Source organism: Homo sapiens, chromosome 3, assembly GCF_000001405.40.
Source record: "Homo sapiens chromosome 3, GRCh38.p14 Primary Assembly".
Taxonomy (NCBI): domain Eukaryota; kingdom Metazoa; phylum Chordata; class Mammalia; order Primates; family Hominidae; genus Homo; species Homo sapiens.
In genome coordinates this window covers 48,037,907-48,055,926 of record NC_000003.12, presented here as the reverse complement: position 1 = coordinate 48,055,926, position 18,020 = coordinate 48,037,907, and the positions used below count along the sequence as shown (strand labels likewise).

The 18,020-nt window shown below is 43.0% G+C and overlaps 1 protein-coding gene and 1 pseudogene across 151 annotated transcripts in view; one reads left to right on the top strand and one right to left on the bottom strand.

Annotated features, from left to right (window-relative positions):
* MAP4 (microtubule associated protein 4) overlaps positions 1–18,020 on the top strand; it is a 238,154-nt gene that overhangs the window by 32,922 nt on the left and 187,212 nt on the right. The window contains exons 2-3 of one of the 151 annotated variants that reach the window (NM_001384729.1): positions 1,638–1,754; positions 4,552–4,639. The exons of the other annotated variants lie outside the window; for them this stretch is intronic. The gene's annotated coding sequence lies outside the window, so the exon portion shown is untranslated. The remainder of the gene's footprint in view (positions 1–1,637; positions 1,755–4,551; positions 4,640–18,020) is intronic. 151 annotated transcript variants of the gene reach the window in all.
* Positions 16,437–16,660, bottom strand: RPS27P30 (ribosomal protein S27 pseudogene 30; annotated as a pseudogene).

Sequence of the window (18,020 nt, the reverse complement as noted above, 5' to 3'; positions counted from 1 at the left end):
GCAGAGACGCTCCTCACCTCCCAGACGGGGTCTCGGCCGGGCAGAGGCGCTCCTCACATCCCAGATGGGGCGGCGGGGCAGAGGCGCTCCCCACGTCTCAGACTATGGGCGGCCGGGCAGAGACGCTCCTCACTTCCTAGATGTGATGGCGGCTGGGAAGAGGCGCTCCTCACTTCCTAGATGGGATGGCGGCCGGGCGGAGACGCTCCTCACTTTCCAGACTGGGCAGCCAGGCAGAGGGGCTCCTCACATCCCAGACGATGGGCGGCCAGGCAGAGACACTCCTCACTTCCCAGACGGGGTGGCGGCCGGGCAGAGGCTGCAATCTCGGCACTTTGGGAGGCCAAGGCAGGCGGCTGGGAGGTGTAGGTTGTAGTGAGCCGAGATCACGCCACTGCACTCCAGCCTGGGCACCATTGAGCACTGAGTGAACGAGACTCCGTCTGCAATCCCGGCACCTCGGGAGGCCGAGGTTGGCGGATCACTCGCGGTTAGGGGCTGGAGACCGGCCCGGCCAACACAGCGAAACCCCGTCTCCACCAAAACCAATCAGGCGTGGCGGCGCGGGCCTGCAATCGCAGGCATTCGGCAGACTGAGGCAGGAGAATCAGGCAGGGAGGTTGCAGTGAGCCGAGATGGCAGCAGTACAGTCCAGCTTCGGCTCCGCATGAGAGGGAGACCATGGGGAGACGGAGACGGAGACGGAGACGGAGACGGAGACGGAGACGGAGAGGGAGAGGGAGAGGGAGACTTTTTAAAGAAACTGCCATTTGTATTGATATAATATGGTGGAGGCCCAGGTTCCCCACGTGGTCCCCGCTGATCTTGTTACTGGTCTGCAGGGATGAAATTCCTGGATACCCTACTTGGCTTTCTGTCTCCACCTTGGAAGGGGTATTGAGTGCTTAATTACAGCTTTGAGAGGTTGGAAATCTAGGCTCCCCACTTGGCCTTTGCTAGAACGGGTAGGTTTTAAACCACAGTATTTTCTTGGTGTTTGGCTGGGGTAGATTGGTTATTGTCTAAAACTTTTCTGTCTTGCTAGACTGCTACTTTCTTGGTCTTTTAGCTAAAGAAGACTGACTTTTGTTGGGGCTTTTCTTTTCTTTTTTTTTTTTGGAGACAGAGTCTTGCTTTGTCGCCCAGGCTGGAGTGCAGTGGTATGATCTTGGCTCACTGCAACCTCTGCTTTCAGGTTTCAAGTGATTCTCGTGTCTCAGCCTCCTGAGTAGCTGGGATTACAGGAGCCCGCCACCATGGCCAGCTAATTTTTTTTTTTTTTTTTTTTTTTTTTTTTGAGATGGAGTCTTACACTGTCGCCCAGGTTGGCGTGCAGTGGCATGATCTCGGCTCACTGCAACCTCTGCCTCTCGAGTTCAAGTGATTCTCCTGCCTCAGCCTCCTGAGTAGCTAGGATTACAGGCGCCCGCCACCACACCTGTAATCCTAGCTACTTTATTGTATTTTTGGTAGAGACGGGGTTTCACTATGTTGGCCAGGCTGGTCTTGAACTTCTGACCTCATGATCCACCCACCTTGGCCTCCCAAAGTGGGATTACAGGCGTGAGCCACCGTGCCTGGCCTGCTCCAGCTGATTTTTTGTTTTTGTTTTTTGTTTTTTTTGTTTTTTGAGGTAGAGTCTTGCTCTCTCGCCAGGCTGGAGTGCAATGGCGCGATCTCGGCTCACTGCGATCTCCGCCTCCTGGGTTCAAGTGATTCTCCTTCCTCAGCCTCCTGACTTGCTGAGACTACAGGTGCGTGCCACCACACCTAATTTTTGTATTTTTAGTAGAGATGGGGTTTCACCATGTTGGCCAGGATGGTCTTGGTCTCTTAACCTCATGATCTGCCTGCCTCGGCCTTCCAAAGTTTTGGGATCACAGGTGTGAGCCACCATGCCTGGCTGGGTATGTTTTTAAAATGACATTTATTTTTTCTTTTTGCAAAAGTTTTATTTAATGTAGATAATTTAGAAACACAAAAATTATAAAAGAGAATAACATTTTCATATATATTCTTCTAGACATTTCCTGTGAATATATATACATATTTTTCTTGTGAAAATAAGAACTATATATACTACTCATGAACTTTTTGCTCGATATAAGCATCATTCCTTGTTAATAAATGCATGAATATAGCACCAATTTGGTATCAATCAGGTTGTAATGTGCACATTCTGGAGATCATCAATATGTGTTACTCCCCTAGGTCGAGTGCCTGAGAGACAGATCATGTACAAATAAACGACGTACATTTTCACATGAATCTCATAGTTCAGACATCACTTATATACTAGAGAGAGTTAGAAGTAAATCAGATTTAGTCATTAGTTTTAGAAACACTGGGTATTTGGGTAGGTATTTAGATTTTAAAGTTTAAAAATAAAAAAAATAAAAGTGTTCATGTGGCTTTACGAATGCTATTTTGATTAAAATTCTTGTTCATATTTTCCATAATATTATAAGAAGGGTCATTATACTTTTCAGAAGAACATTTGAGATAATAATGGCTTTCTTGTTTGTTCTTGGAGGAAATAGGAGATACTAGCAGTGTTGTTTCAATGAACCCTAGCATTAGTTTTCTGCTGGAACTTGCAAAACAGAAACCAGAACGACTTAAATCTTTTCCATAGTACAGTTTTTTCTAATTGCTATGTGGTATACTTGCAGATGTTCAGATTTATTGGGAAATTTAGATTTCATAGCTTAGGATTTTTGGTATTAGCTATTCAGATTGATGCATCAGGTCTAATTAAAAATTATACTCAAGTTTATTCTTGTACTTTATGTTGTCTTTTTCTTATGATGTGAGTAGCTGCAGTATAACTCAAAACCAGTAATTATAAAACCACTTAATGAATGAATGTAGATGTAAAAGCATATAATATTTGGAGTTGTTTTAGTTTCTGTTTCTTTAAAGGTGAAGGTACATATGTCATAATTTGGGAAGCTATCCTTTCAACTTAACATGGAGTTGAAATTGAAATGTGTTCTTAGACATAAATTTGAGATGTGTTATTGAACATATTTAACACGTTATCAGTTTCCATATTTTTCCAAGCAGTTAACCATTGGGTAGTGCACAGCAAGCTCATTTTCCTCTTAGCCGTTCTGTGCATCTTGTGGTTTGAGATGTTCATCACTGTCTGGCTGTGAACCCCAAATGTCCTCCTAGTGATCCTGGAAGGTATTTTAGAATAGTTTTGGCTTTCTGCTTTTGATTCTAATTTATGAGATCTGGAGTGGAGTCCAGAATCTGAATTTTAAAAAGAATAGCTCTATTGAGATACAATTTATAAAACATACAGTTCAGCCACTTAAAATGTACAGTTCAGTGGTTTTCAGTATTTTCACAGTTGTGCATCCATTACCACAATCAGTTTTAGAACATTTTCATTACTCAGGCAGGACGCGGTGGCTCACACCAGTAATCCCAGCACTTTGGGATGCTGAGGCGGGTAGATCACTTGAGGCCAGGAGTTCAAGACCAGCCCGACCGATATAGCGAAACCCTGTCTTTCCTAAGAATACAAAAAGTTAGCTGGGTGTGATAGTGCACGCCTATAATCCCAGCTACTCGGGAGGCTGAGGCACGAGAATAGCTTGAACCAGGACGTGGAGGTTGCAGTGAGCCAAGATCGCGCCACCGCACTCCAGCCTGGGCGACAGAGCGAGACTCTGTCTCAAAAAACAAAAACAAAAAAACCCACCCTGTTCTCCTTAGCTACTCTTCCACCTAATCCTTCCATTTCCCTGCACTCACAACTCCTAGATTTTTATGGTGTATGGCTCTCAGTTGGCGTAGGGGTAGAGTTGTGATTTTGCCCTTTAGGGGACATTTGACAGTGTCTGGAAACATTCTCATGGGTCACAACTGGGAAGGTGCTATTGGCATGCTATTAAACATCTTCCAGTTTAGAGGACAACCTCTCATAACAATTTTCTTGTCCAAAATTTCAGTAGTGAAGGTGTTAAGAAACTCTGGAAGAGAGTTAGACTAAACAAATTGCAAGATCAAATTTTTAGCCCTCACATTGGCAGTAGGATATTATCTTACATGGTCGATTTATAATTTATGTAAAATTGTTAAATGTATTGGGGTTATACAGATGATAGAAAAAAGAGTCTTAGGGACCTAAGGGACTCAGTTTAGTCTAGTCTGGAATAGTATGATGTCCTCGCTGGGAGCCATGAACCCTAGTCTAGAGCCTGGGATGTAGTTGTTGAATGAACATGATTATGTGGTGGTAGTTTGAACTAAAATGATTCTTAGTTATTTCATAATTGATGGATATCTAGATTGGTAGACTTCACATAGCTGTATAGACTATTCCCTCTTTTAATCCTCCTATCTTGCCAAAATCAATAACCATAAAAAAGAATGTGTAGAAGAGTCTGATTTTTATAGTTTATTTCAAAGAAATTTAAGAGTCTCAATGGTGCTATAAAGAAATTAAAGACTGGCTGTGGTTTGGTTGACTTGAAAAGGATATGTGGGTCTGAGTGTGTGTGTTTAATTTTTTAAATTTTCTTTTGTTTTTGTTTTCAGAGAGAGTCTTGCTCTGTCTCACTGCAGCCTCTGCCTCCCGGGTTCAAGCAGTTCTCCTGCCTCAGCCTCCTGGTAGCTGGGATTACAGGTGCACACCACCACACCCAGCTAATTTTTGTATTTTTAGTAGAGACGGGGTTTTGCCATGTTGCCCAGGCTGGTCTTGAACTCCTGACCTCAGATGATCCATCCACCTTGGCCTCCCAAAGTGCTGGGATTACAGGCATGAGCCACCACAGCCAGCCTAAGTGTGTGTGTGTGTGTGTGTGTGTGTGTGTGTGTGGAAATTGAATGGTTTTCAAAGGTGATTTGATTAGCATTTGCATAGACTGTGAATCCAAGATGTTTGTGTTCCCTTCCCTCATTCTTCCATTCTTTTCTCTGTTTGTCAATTTTTGTACCGCGATATATGAGGGATTAAAGAAAAATCTTTTAGAATAGTTTTGGCTTTCTGCCTTTTTTTTTTTTTTGAGATGGAGTTTCACTCTTGTTGCCCAGGCTGGAGTGCAATGGCGCGATCTCAGCTCACCGCAACCTCTGCCTCCTGGGTTCAAGCGATTCTCTTGCCTCAGCCTCCCGAGTAGCTGGGATTACAGGCATGCGCCACCATGCCCAGCTAAGTTTTGTAGTTTCAGTAGAGATGGATTTCACCATGTTGGCCAGGATGGTCTCGATCTCTTGACCTGTGATCCGCCTGCCTCAGCCTCCCAAAGTGTTGGGATTACAGTTGTGGGCCACCGCGCACGTCCTCTATAGTTTTTTTTTTTTTTTAAGTTTATGATAAATTGAAACAACACTAAGAAAATCAGATAATACAGGAATATTAAATGAAAACCGAATCTTTCTGAGAAATGAAAAATAGTATCTCATTGTTTAATTTGTATTTCTTTTTAGATGAAAGAGGCTGAATTTTTTTTTCACATTTATTATTTGGATTTCTATGAAGAGTTTGTGTCCTGGACTCATTTTTCTGTTGGGTTGTTGATAGTTGTTCTGTTTGTTTGTGAGAGCACTTAGTATATTATAAAAATTAATCCATTGTGTAGTACATGTAACACAAATATTTTCTTCTACTCCGTTATTTGCCTTTTGACTTTACTATTTTTTTTTTTTTTTTGAGATGGAGTCTCGCTCTTTTGCCAGGCTGGAGTGCAGTAGTGTCATCTCGGCTCACTTCAATCTCTGGCTCCCGGGTTCAAGCGATTCTCCTGCCTCAACCTCCCGAGTAGCTGGGATTACAGGTGTGTGCCACCACGCCCAGCTACTTTTTGTATTTTTAGTAGAGACGGGGTTTCACCATGTTGGCCAGGCTGGTCTCAAACTCTTGACCTCCGGTGATCCACCCGCCTTGGCCTCCCAAATTGCTGGGATTACAGGTATGGGCCACTGCACCCGGCCAAAAATTTTTAATTTAATTTAATTAATTTATTTTTTTTCCCAGACGAAGTCTCACTCTGTTGCCCAAGCTGGAGTGCAGTGGTGCGATCTCGGCTCACTGCAACCTCCACCTCCTGGGTTCAAGCAATTCTACTACCTCAGCCTCCCGAGTAGCTGGGACTACAGGCACGCGCCACCATGCCCAGCTATTTTTTTGTGTGTGTGTTTTTAGTAGAGACAGGGTTTCACTATGTTGGCCAGGCTGGTCTCAAACTCCTGACGTCGCGATCCGCCTGCCTTGGCCTCCCAAAGTGCTGGGATTACAGGCATGAGCCACCACACCTGGCCTTAATTTAATTTTTACTAGTCAATTTTTTTAGTAGACCTGGTCTCACTCTGTTACCCTGGCTGGAGTGCAGTGGTGCCATCATTGCTCACTGCAACCTGAACTCCTGGGCTCAAGTGATCTTCCCACTTCATCCTCCCAAGTAGCTGGGTCTATAGGTATGCACTATCATGCCCGGCTGATTTTTGCATTTTTTGTAGAGACAGGGTACGGTTATGTTACTCAGACTGGTCTCAGACTCCTAGGCTCAAACGATCCTCCTGCCTTGGCCTCCCAAAGTGCTAGGATTACAGGTGCTGGATCCAGCTGGCAGTTTCTTTAAAAATTAAACATGTACTTACCATACTACCCAGAAATCACTCCTTTGGTTATTTACTCCAAATAAAATAAAATTTATGTTCACTTAAAAACTTGTACGTAACTGTTCATAGCAGACTTATTCAAAACAGCAAAATGTGAACCAATCCAAATGTTGTGTCAACAAGTGTAAAGCAAAACATATGACATCCATAGCATGGAATACTACTGAGTAATCAAAAGGAACAAGCAAGCTATAGATAACCTGCAACACCTTGAATAGACTACAAGGGTAATGTGCTTAGTGGAAAAGCTTATCTCAAGAGGTCACATATTATATAGTTCCATTTATATGACATTCTCAAAGTGACAAAACTGTAAAGATGAAGAATAGATTAGTGATTGCCAGGGGACAGGGGGGTAGTAGGTGGAGGGGCTATAAATACAGAGAGGTAGCAGAACAGTTCTGTATCTTGATTGCAGTTGTGGTTATAAAAATCTATACATGAGACAAAACTGCTTAGAAATACACACACAAATGCAGGTTAAAAAAAATAGTGAAAACTGAATAAGGTCTGTAGTCTAGTTAACAGTTATGTATCAGTGTCATAATGTTTGAGACCAGCCTGGGCAACATAGTGAGATCCTGTCTCTACAAAAAAATTTAAAAAATTAGCCCAGTGTGGCGGCATGCACCTGTGGTCTCAGCTACTCTGGAGGCTGAGGTGGGAGATCACTTGAGTCCTGGAGGTTGAGGATGCAGTGAGCCTTGGCGCTGCCACTGCACTCTAGCCTGAGTGACAGAGTGAAGACTTTGTCTCAAAAAAAAAAAAAAAAAAAAAAAAAAAAGATAATTGAGATCTGGATCTACCTGATGATAAAGTGTGTGTTCCTTGCACAGTACCATCCAGTCTTGCCTGGTAATTCCTTTCAGGCCTTTACTTGGTTCTTAAATACTAGATGTTGCCAAATAAGTGATGCTACTTTTACTAGGTGTGGTTAGGAGGCACAGCATCCAAAGCAAGGACATGAGATTGTAATACAAGGAAGGTGATGACTTGCTCCATTGTCTGTGGCTTTCTTATGTTGTAATGGGAGCTTATCAGTGTGCACCATGATCAGGTTACAGCATCAGGAGGAGCTCTACAACCTATTTTAGATTCACAGTTAATATTGTCTGCTTTTTTCTTTGTTCTTGTCATTTTCTTTTCTCTTTTGTACTTTCTCTTTCTCTCTCTCTTTTTAAAAGATGGGAGTCTAGATACATTGCCCAGTACAGTGGCTGTTCACAGGCATAATCATAGCTCATTGCAGCCTTGAACTCCTGGACTCAAGCAATCCTTTCTGTCTCAGCCTTCCAAGTAGATGGAACTATAGGCTGTGTGTCACTGTGCCAAACATCTCTCTCTGTCTCTTTATTTTTTAAGTGATAGAGAACCACAAATGTGTTTTTTAAAGAACCAGCATTTTTTCAAATACCAAATATTTGTGTAGCTGATGATGAGGCATCACTAGGAGTTTCCTTTTGTTGACAAATTCAAGAGAGACATCATTCCAAATGAAATTTTATTCCGAAAGTGAATTTTGTGAAAACCAGTGCTAAGAAAATAACAAAATGAACGAACACCAAAACACCCATGTGTTTACAAGGAAACAAGAAAACATGGAGTTAAAGTAAGTAATTGTGTCTACTTGACAGATGTTGGGTTTTCTTTCCCTCTTGGACTATTGTGTTTCCTCAATTTGTAGGTTTCATGTCATCTTTTTAAAATAGTAGCCGTCTTTTGACTCCTTATAAGTTATGTTGGGCCAGGCCACCTTACCACATGAATTCCCTCCCCACTTTGCTTGGTATTTGATACCCTGCTTTCAGCCACCATGGCTTCCTCCCCACCCCTAAACGAAGACTCTGATTTTGCTCTGCTTGCTCTACCCTACCTGATGGCTTTAGGCTAAATTGTTTATGCTGACCGGAGTCAGATTTTATTTTTAGAGAGATAATTCTGGTGACCATATGGAGAACTGGGTGAGAGACTGTCAGTGTTCAGTTGAGTCTAGTGCAGAATCTAGGTGAGGGGTTTGAACCAAAGTACATGGGGATGGATAAGGAAGACTAAGCACTCTACAGACGATGATGATAATATGATAAATTATATAGGTTATAATTTACTGAACACTTGCCATCCCTCATAACAACTTCATGATTGAAGGCCTTAACATTTTTATTTATTTATTTATTTATTTATTTATTTATTTATTTTTGAGACGGAGTCTCACTCTGTTGCCCAGGCTGGAGTGCAGTGGTGTGGTCTCGGCTTACTGCAAGCTCCGCCTCCTGGGTTCACGCCATTCTCCTGCCTCAGCCTCCCGAGTAGCTGGGACTACAGGCGCCTGCCACCACGCCCGGCTCATTTTTTGTATTTTTAGTAGAGACGGGGTTTAACCGTGTTAACCAGGATGGTCTCGATCTCCTGACCTCGTGATCCACCCGCCTCAGCCTCCCAAAGTGCTGGGATTACAGGCGTGAGCCACCGCGCCCGGCTAACATTTTTATTTTATAGATGAGTAAACAGTCATGGAGAGATTACATACCTTGCCCAAATTTACCTAGCTCAACAGAGGAAAAGAAAGGATAGGAATTCAGGTGGTCTGATTTTAGAACCTGTGCTTTTGACCATTATACTAGCTGGGGGCTTTATTTTTCTAACTGTTAGAAGTGTTCAACAATGAAAGAGCCACCCTGTGAAGTAATGTGGGCATCACTTGAAATGGTCAGGCAGGAAGTAGACGGGTCATTAATACTACATCAAGGGTCCACATACACACTGTGGCTAGATTACTGTGAAGAAGGCTTTTAAGTTCTGTGATTTTGTGATGTGATATACAGGGAGTTGTTGCTTTATGTGGTTCTCATATACACTTTCACTTACCATGGTTTGGTTAAATAATACCAATTCCCTAATAACATGGTTTAAATTTTACACAGCATATTAACTGTGAATAATCGTATAAAGTACAAAATTCGCTGCCAGCTCTTCTGTCACTACATAAGTAACAACTGTGCAAAGCATGGGTTTGTGTTACCTCCTTGTCTCCCAGTGATAAATCTATGTGATAGTTAAGAAAAATCGATAACCGATAGAGAGAATTGGCCGAAAAAGATGAAAGTTCAGGAAAAAACCAAAAAGTAACAACAGTGGAAGTGAAATTCAAATTGAACTCAAATGGAGTTATAGAAGAAATAGATCACTGAGGGAATGCTGATGCTCTCATTCAAAACACTCTGGATATGTAGCCGAAATAACTTAGTGAAGGTGAGCTTATCTACATAAGTGAAGAAAGTGGTTTGGTAAAAAAAAAAAAAAAAAAAAGAAGTGATGCAAGAAATTTTGTAGTGAAAGAACTCTCGAAGGTATTCTGTGATATTGAAATATGAAACATAAAGTATTTGATGCTATTCCAGACTCAGACAGGAGTGTGACAATTGGCTAAGGCATAGAAAAGATGTCTATTGCAGCCGGGCGCGGTGGCTTACGCCTGTAATCCCAGCACTTTGGGAGGCCGAGGCAGGCGGATCACAAGGTCAGGAGATCGAGACCATCCTGGCTAACAGGGTGAAACCCCGTCTCTATTGTATGATGAGAAGAATGTAAGCACTATTTAAACTACCCCTAATAAATTTTTTCAAAGAACTTAAACATTATAATTTTCAATATTTCTATGTTCTCTAGTGCAGTGGTCCTCAACCTTTTTAGCACTGATTTAGTGGAAGACAGTTTTTCCATGGAAGGGGACGCTGGGGGAGGGGATGTTTTCGGGATAAAACTCTTCCACCTCAGAAGATCATCAGGCATTGGATTCTCATAAAGAGTGCACAGTCTAGAGCCCTCGCATGCACAGTTCACAGTAGGGTTTGTGCTCTTATGAGAATCTAATGCCACGACTGATGTGACAGGAGGCAGAGATGCTCGCCTGCCCTTCGCTCACCTCCTGCTTTAGTGCATTAATGATTAGTTTTCCTGTTCTTTCAATTTTCCTATAATTATAACTGACAGAGTTTTTAATGTTTCAATGAAATTTTTTTTTTTTTTTTTTTTGAGACTGAGTCTCACTCTTGTCACCCAGGCTGGAACACAGTGGTGCGATCTCGGCTCACTGCAACCTCCGCCTCCTGGGTTCAAGCGATTCTCCTGCCTCAGGCTCCCTAGCAGCTGGGATTATAGGCATGCACCACCATGCCTGACTAATTTTTTGTATTTTTAGTAGAGATGGGTTTTCACCATGTTGTCCAGGCTGGTCTTGAACTCCTGACCTCAGGTGATTTGCCTGCCTCAGCTTCCCAAAGTGCTGGGATCTCAGGTGTGAGACACTGTGCCTGGCCTCAACAAAAAAAAAATTCTTTTTTTTGAGATAGGATCTTGCTCTGTTGCCCAGGCTGGAGTGCAGTAGTGTGATCTCGGCTCACTGCAACCTCTACCTCCTGGATTCAAGCAATTCTCCTGCCTCAGCCTCCCGAGTAGCTGGGATTACAGGTGCTCACCACCACCCCTGGGTAATATTTATTTTATTTTTTAAATTATTTTTTGAGATGGAGTCTCACTGTGTCACTTAGGCTGGAGTACAGTGGTGCAGTCTCAGCTCACGCAACCTCTGTAGTGAACCCGTCCTAGGTTCAAACAATTCTCCTGCCTCAGCCTCCCAAGTAGCTGGGATTACAGGCGTGTGCCACTACCCCTGGCTAATTTTTGTATTTTTAGTAGACATGAGGTTTCGCCATGTTGGCCAGGGTGGTCTCGAACTCCTGACCTCAAGTGATCTGCCCACCTCGGCCTCCCAGTGCTGGGATTACAGGCATGAGCCACTGTGCCTGGCCCAAAATTTTTTAAAAATTACAGAGTGGCGGCCGGGCACTGTGGCTTACGCCTGTAATCCCAGCACTTTGGGAGGCTGATGCGGGTGGATCACGAGGTCAGGAGATCGAGACCATCCTGGCTAACATGGTGAAACCCCGTCTCTACTAAAAATACAAAAAAATTAGCCGGGCGTGGTGGCGGGTGCCTGTAGTCCCAGCTACTCGGGAGGCTGAGGCAGGAGAATGGCATGAACCTGGGAGGTGGAGCTTACAGTGAACCGAGATTGCGCCACTGCACTCCAGCCTGGGCAACAGAGTGAGACTGTCTCAAAAAACAAAAACAAAAAAAAATTACAGAGCGGCTGGGTGCAGTGGCTCACGCCTGTACTCCCAGCACTTTGGGAGGCTTAGGTGGGCAGATCACGAGGTCAGGAGATCGAGACCATCCTGGCCAACATGGTGAAACCCCATCTCTACTAAAAATACAAACATTAGCTGGGTGTGGTGGCACGTGCCTGTAGTCCCAGCTACTCAGGAGGCTGAGGCAGGAGAATCGCTTGACCCCAGGAAGTGGAGATTGCAGTGAGCCAAGGTCGCGCCACTGCACCCTAGACTGGACACAGAGCGAGACTCCGTCTCAATTTTAAAAAAAAAAAGATTACAGAGCAATTGCAGTTTTTCTCATTAATTATTATGATCACTTTGCATGGTTTCAGCGTGCATTCTTACTTTTACGGTTTTGCACTATTGTGTAAAATGAAAGCTGCCTGTTTGTAAACTGTGGAAAGTTTAATTTTTCTTCTTAGTTTTTAGGGGTACCCCCTAACTAGCCTTTTCTTTGCAGAGTTTGTATATGCATCTCTAACAAAGTATGTTTCCTTTGACAAGTTTTGCTTTTAAAAAACTTGGACTGACTGAAAATAATATTTGTAGAAAATATTCTAAAAGTAATGCAAAAAGGAAATATCCTTAAAGCTAGTATTAAGAATAATCTCATAGGAAGGAAGTTTCATGTGTTTGGTGTTATCTCTCTTTTTGGTAACAGTTTTGTTGAGATATATTTTATATACCATACCATTCACCCACTTAAAGTGTAGAATTCAGGCCAGGCACAGTGGCTCATGCCTGTAATCACAGCACTTTGGAAGGCCGAGGCAGGTAGATCACTTGAGGCCAGGAGTTCGAGACCAGCCTGACCAACATGGCAAAACCCCGTCTCTACTAAACATACAAAAATTAGCCGGGCATGGCGACACGTGCCTGTAATCCCGGCTACTTGGGAGGCTGAGGCACAAGAATCGCTTGAACTCAGGAGGCGGAGGTTGCAGTGAGCCAAGATCATGCCATTGTACTCCAGCCTGGGTGACAGAGCAAGACTCCATCACAAAAAATAAATAAATAAATAAAATGTACAATTCATTGTTTTTTGGTATATTCACAGACATGTGCACCATTAGTGCAGTAAAGTCTAGAACATTTTCATGACCCCCAAAAGAAATCCCATGTTCTTTATCACTCCCTAATACAATAAACCCCAAGCCCCAGGCAACCATGAATCTACTTTCTGTATAAATTTACCTACTCTGGATATTTTATATACACAGATTAATATAGTAGGTGGTCTTTTGTGATGTTTTCAGGGTTCACCCATCTTGTAGCATGTATTAGGACTTTATTCCCTTTTATGGCTGAATAATATTCCATTGTATGTATGTACCTCATTTTATTTATCATTTATTTGTTGAGGAACATTTGGGTTATTTCTGCTTTCATATGGTAACTCTGTTTAATCTTTTGAGGAGCTCCCAGACTTTTTCAAGGTGGCTGCACCATTTTATGTTCTCATTAGCAGTATATGAGGGTTCCAGTTCTTGCCACATCTAAAACACTTGCCATTCATTACCTGTTTTTTTTTATTTTAGTCATGCTACTGGGTGTAGGATCTCATTGTGGTTTTGACTTTCATTTTTCTGGTGACTAATGTGTTTATTGGCCATTTGTATATTATCTTTGGAGAAATGTACAGATTCTTTGTTCATTTTTAAATTAATTTGCCTTTTTATTATTAAGTTGCCAGAGTTTTTGGTATTTTAGATACAGGTGTGTGTGGAAAAAACAAACTCCGTTTCTCCTACTGCTGATATTCTTATAGCACCCTACTGAAAGCAGATGTGTGGGGATTTCTCCCCACCAGCAGGCAAGCAAGCAGTCATTTCTGCAGCTGACAGCCACTCAATTCTGACATAATCAACCTGGAGATAGCATCAAGATTCCACAGGTTGAGGGCTCAGTTTCCAAGACTGCCTCTCCCCACACTTCACATGCCAGTTGTAAGCTCCCGCTTATTTTACCTGTGCTTCTGACTGACTGGCTATAAATTGGTGTTCCCATTTATAGCCATGGGCTTAACTTGCTAGAGCAGCTCGCACAACTCGAAAACACATGTTTACCAGTTTATTACAAAGGATATTTTAAAGGATACACATAAATAGCCAGCTGAAGAGATATATAAGACAAGGTCTGGAAAGGTCCTGAGAGCAGGAGCATCTCTCCTGGTGGAATTCGGGTGTGCTACCCTCCCAGGACTTTGTCTGTGCTTATACTAGTACCACATTGTCTTGACTATTATAGCTTTCTGTAGTATGTTATGAAAGTGGAAAGTATGTGTCCGTCAACCTTGTTTTTATTTCAGGGTTGTTTTAGCTATTCTGGGTCCCTTGAATTTCCATATGAATTTTAGGATTGATTGTCAATTTCTACAAAGAAGCTTGGTGTGATTTTCATGTATTTTTTTGGACACAGGGTCGCACCGCATCACCCAGACTGAGATGGGGTTTTGCCATGTTGCCCAGGCTGGTCTTGAACTCCTGGGCTCAAGTAATAATGCCCAGTTTGGCCTACCAAAGTGTTGGGATTACAGGAGTGAGCCACTGTGCCTGAATCTGTAGATCAGTTTGGGAAGCATTGCCATCTTAGCAATGTTAAATCTTCTGATCCATGAACTTAAATGTCTTTCCATTTATTTAAATCTTCCTTAATTTCTTTCAGGAATTTTTTTTTTTTAATTTTTCAGAGTATAAATTGTTCACTTCAGCCGGGCACGGTGGCTTATGCCTGTTATCTCAGCACTTTGGGAGGCCAAGGCAGGTGGATTACCTGAGGTCAGGAGTTTGAGACTAGCCTGACCAACATTATGAAACCCCATTTCTACTAAAAATACAAAAATTAGCCGGGCATGGTGGCATGTGCCTGTAATCTCTGTTACTCAGGAGGCTGAGGCAGGAGAATCGCTTGAACCCGGGAGGCGGAGGTTGCAGTGAGCCAAGATTGTGCCACTGCACTCCAGCCTGGGCAGCAGGAGCAAAACTCCATCTCAAAATAAATAAATAAATTGTTCACTTCTTTTAAGTATTTTTTTATGCTATTTTAAGCAGAATTGTTTTCTTAATATCATTTTTGGATTGTTGACGCAGGTACTTGGTGCATTTAAAATACAATTTTATTGGCTGGGCATGGTGGCTTATACCTGTAATCCCAGCACTTTGGGAGGCCAAGGCTTGCAGATACCTGAGGTCAGGGGTTCAAGACCAGCCTGGCTAACAACGGCAAAACCCCGTCTCTATCAAAAATACAAAAATTGGCTGGATGTGGTGGCGCACGCACGCCTTTAATCCCAGCACTTTGGGAGGCTGAGGCGGGCAGATCATAAGGTCAGCAGTTCAAGACCAGCCTGACCAATTGGTGAAACCCCGTCTCTACTAAAAATACAAAAATTAGCTGGGTGTGGTGGCGCATGCCTATAGTCCCAGCTACTCAGGAGGCTGAGGCAGGAGAATTGCTTGAACCTGGGAGGCAGAGGCTGCAGTGAGCCGAGGTTGCGGCACTGCACTCCAGCTGGGTGACAGTGAGACTCTGTCTTACAAAATAAATAAATAGGCTGGGCGCGGTGGCTCACGCCTGTAATCCCAGCACTTTGGGAGGCCGAGGCGGGCGGATCACAAGGTCAGGAGATCGAGACCGTCCTGGCTAACATGGTGAAACCCCATCTCTACTAACAATAAAAAAAAATTAGTTGGGCATGGCTGCAGGCGCCTGTAGTCTCAGCTACTCGGGAGGCTGAGGCAGGAGAATGGCCTGAACCCAGGAGGCGGAGCTTGCAGTGAGCCGAGATCACGCCACTGAACTCTAGCCTGGGGGACAGAGCAAGATGCCGTCTCAAAAAAAAATAAAAAAATAAAAATAAATAATATGATTTTGTCAAATTTAAAACCTTAAGATCCTATTGGCTTGTAATAGCAAGGAGTAGAAGCGTGGATTGTAGAATGTTCTTATGAAGGCTTTATTTCATCAATGGCTTTTAAGCACTTTGGGGTCAGACTTTGAGCTGTTAGTGATTGTTTTTGAGCTGTAGTCCTTAGAGATTCCAAACTGATGACTGCATATGTCACTTGTATAGTCAATGTGACTGGTTTTCAAAAGCCCTTTCAGTTATAGAGCCAATGACTGGGCAACAGAAATGCCTTTCATTTATATCATTCTTCTGTTTTCTTGGTGCAAAGGGCTGTAGTTAAGAGGAACAGTTAGATTTTAGTGGCTTACCAAGTTGCTTTAGAGGAAGTCTATGAAAGGACTGTTGAGCCAAACAATGTTCAGATTAAAAACCAGTCTGTTAGCAGGACAGAATCCTCTTGCAGATACTTTGTTTAACCTTTAACTTAGTGCAAGAAGAGTTCAAGCTATGACTTTTGAGATTAAATCTTAAATTATGTAAGCATGTTTCTGATAAGGATTGTTTTATCATCTGCATCAGAACCATTTGGACTGCTTTAAAATACAGATTTCTGGACTCCTACCCAGATTTACTAAATCAAATTCTGGGAATAGAACTTCATAATCTCTTTTAAACCACCTTTCCATGGGATGTCCACGTTAAAGTTTGAAAACTACTTTTATTTATTTTTGGCATCCATATGTGTTTATTGATATAGTTTCCCACTCATCTTGATTCAGGGTTCTTTCAGTGCTGTCTCTATCTGAAGGAGAGCCTTCCTGTAGGCTGGCAGAGGACAGCAGAGCAGCCAGACACACAACTACTATTGTGCATGACTGACGACCATGGTGATTTTATAGCATCCTGGGCATTTCACGTTCAGGAAGTAAGAATTGGGGCTCTGCACCAGGCACTTCTTGTGCTTGCTCTTTTTTTCTGGAGAGGGAGGGAGATTCTTTGTGAGAGGCCTGTTCTCGTGAGGGGATCGTCAGCACTGGAAAACTGAAAACCAGTTTTAATAGTACCTCTTTCTGTTAAGAGATTGGTTTTTACCAGGACTGAAATTTTTCAAATTATGACTCACTGCCAACTATTTTTTCTGTTGCTGTTTTTGTTTGTTTGTTTTTTTTGAGACAGAGTTTCCCTCTGTCTCCCAGGCTGGAGTGCAGTGGTATGATCTCGGCTCACTGCAGCCTTTACCTCCCCAGGCTTAGGTAATTCTCCTATCTTAGCCCTCCCAAATAGGTGGGACTATAGGCGTGCATCACCATGCCTGGCTAATTTTTGTATTTTTTGTAGAGACTGGATCTCACCATGTTGCCCAGGCTGATCTTGAACTCCTGGGCTCGTGTGATCTGCCTACCTCAGCCTCCCAAAATGCTGGGATTACAGGCATGAGCCATCGCCCTTGGCCTACAGCCAACTCTTAAAAGCAAAACAACACTAGAAGATAATGGAATAGAAGATTTCAGTAGGCCGGGCACAGTGGCTCACGCCTGTAATCCCAGCACTCTGGGAGGCCGAGGCGGGCGGATCACGAGGTCAGGAGCTCAAGACCATCCTGGCTAACACGGTGAAACCCCGTCCCTGCTAAAAATACAAAAAATTAGCTGGGCGTGGTGGCAGGCGCCTGTAGTCCCCGCTGCTTGGGAGGCTGAGGCGGGAGAATGGCATGAACCTGGAAGGCAGAGCTTGCAGTGAGCCAAGATCGTGCCACTGCACTCCAGCCTGGGCAACAGAGTGGGACTCCATCTCAAAAAAAAAAAAAAAAAAAGTTTCAGTGCATTGTACATAGTATGGATGAGTATTGATTTATAAAACTTCTGTTTCATTTATATATGTGTATGTGAATATGGATCATAATATAAATTTTTTTTTGCCATGGATGGTGATAAAAAGAAAAAAATGAAGACTTGAGAATTAGAAAAACACATATTTTTCTTTCCTTCACTCTTTCATACGTTCTTTTGCATCTGCCATGCTCCTGGAACTGGGATAGGTGCTGGGTGAGCATCCAAATATTCCGAAAATCCTCACTCTTTTTTTTTTTTTTTTTTCTTTTTTTGGAGATGGAGTCTTGCTCTGATGCCCAGGCTGGAATGCAATGGCGTGATCTCGGCTCACTGCAAACTCCACCTGCTGGGTTGAAGCGATTCTCTTGCCTCAGCCTCCTGAGTAGCTGGGATTATAGACGCCTGCCACCAATGCTTGGCTAATTTTTGTATATTTAGTAGAGATGGCATTTTGCCATGTTGGCCAGGCTGGTTTCAAACTCCTGACCTCAGGTGATCCACCCACCTTGGCCTCCCAAAGTGCTGGGATTACAG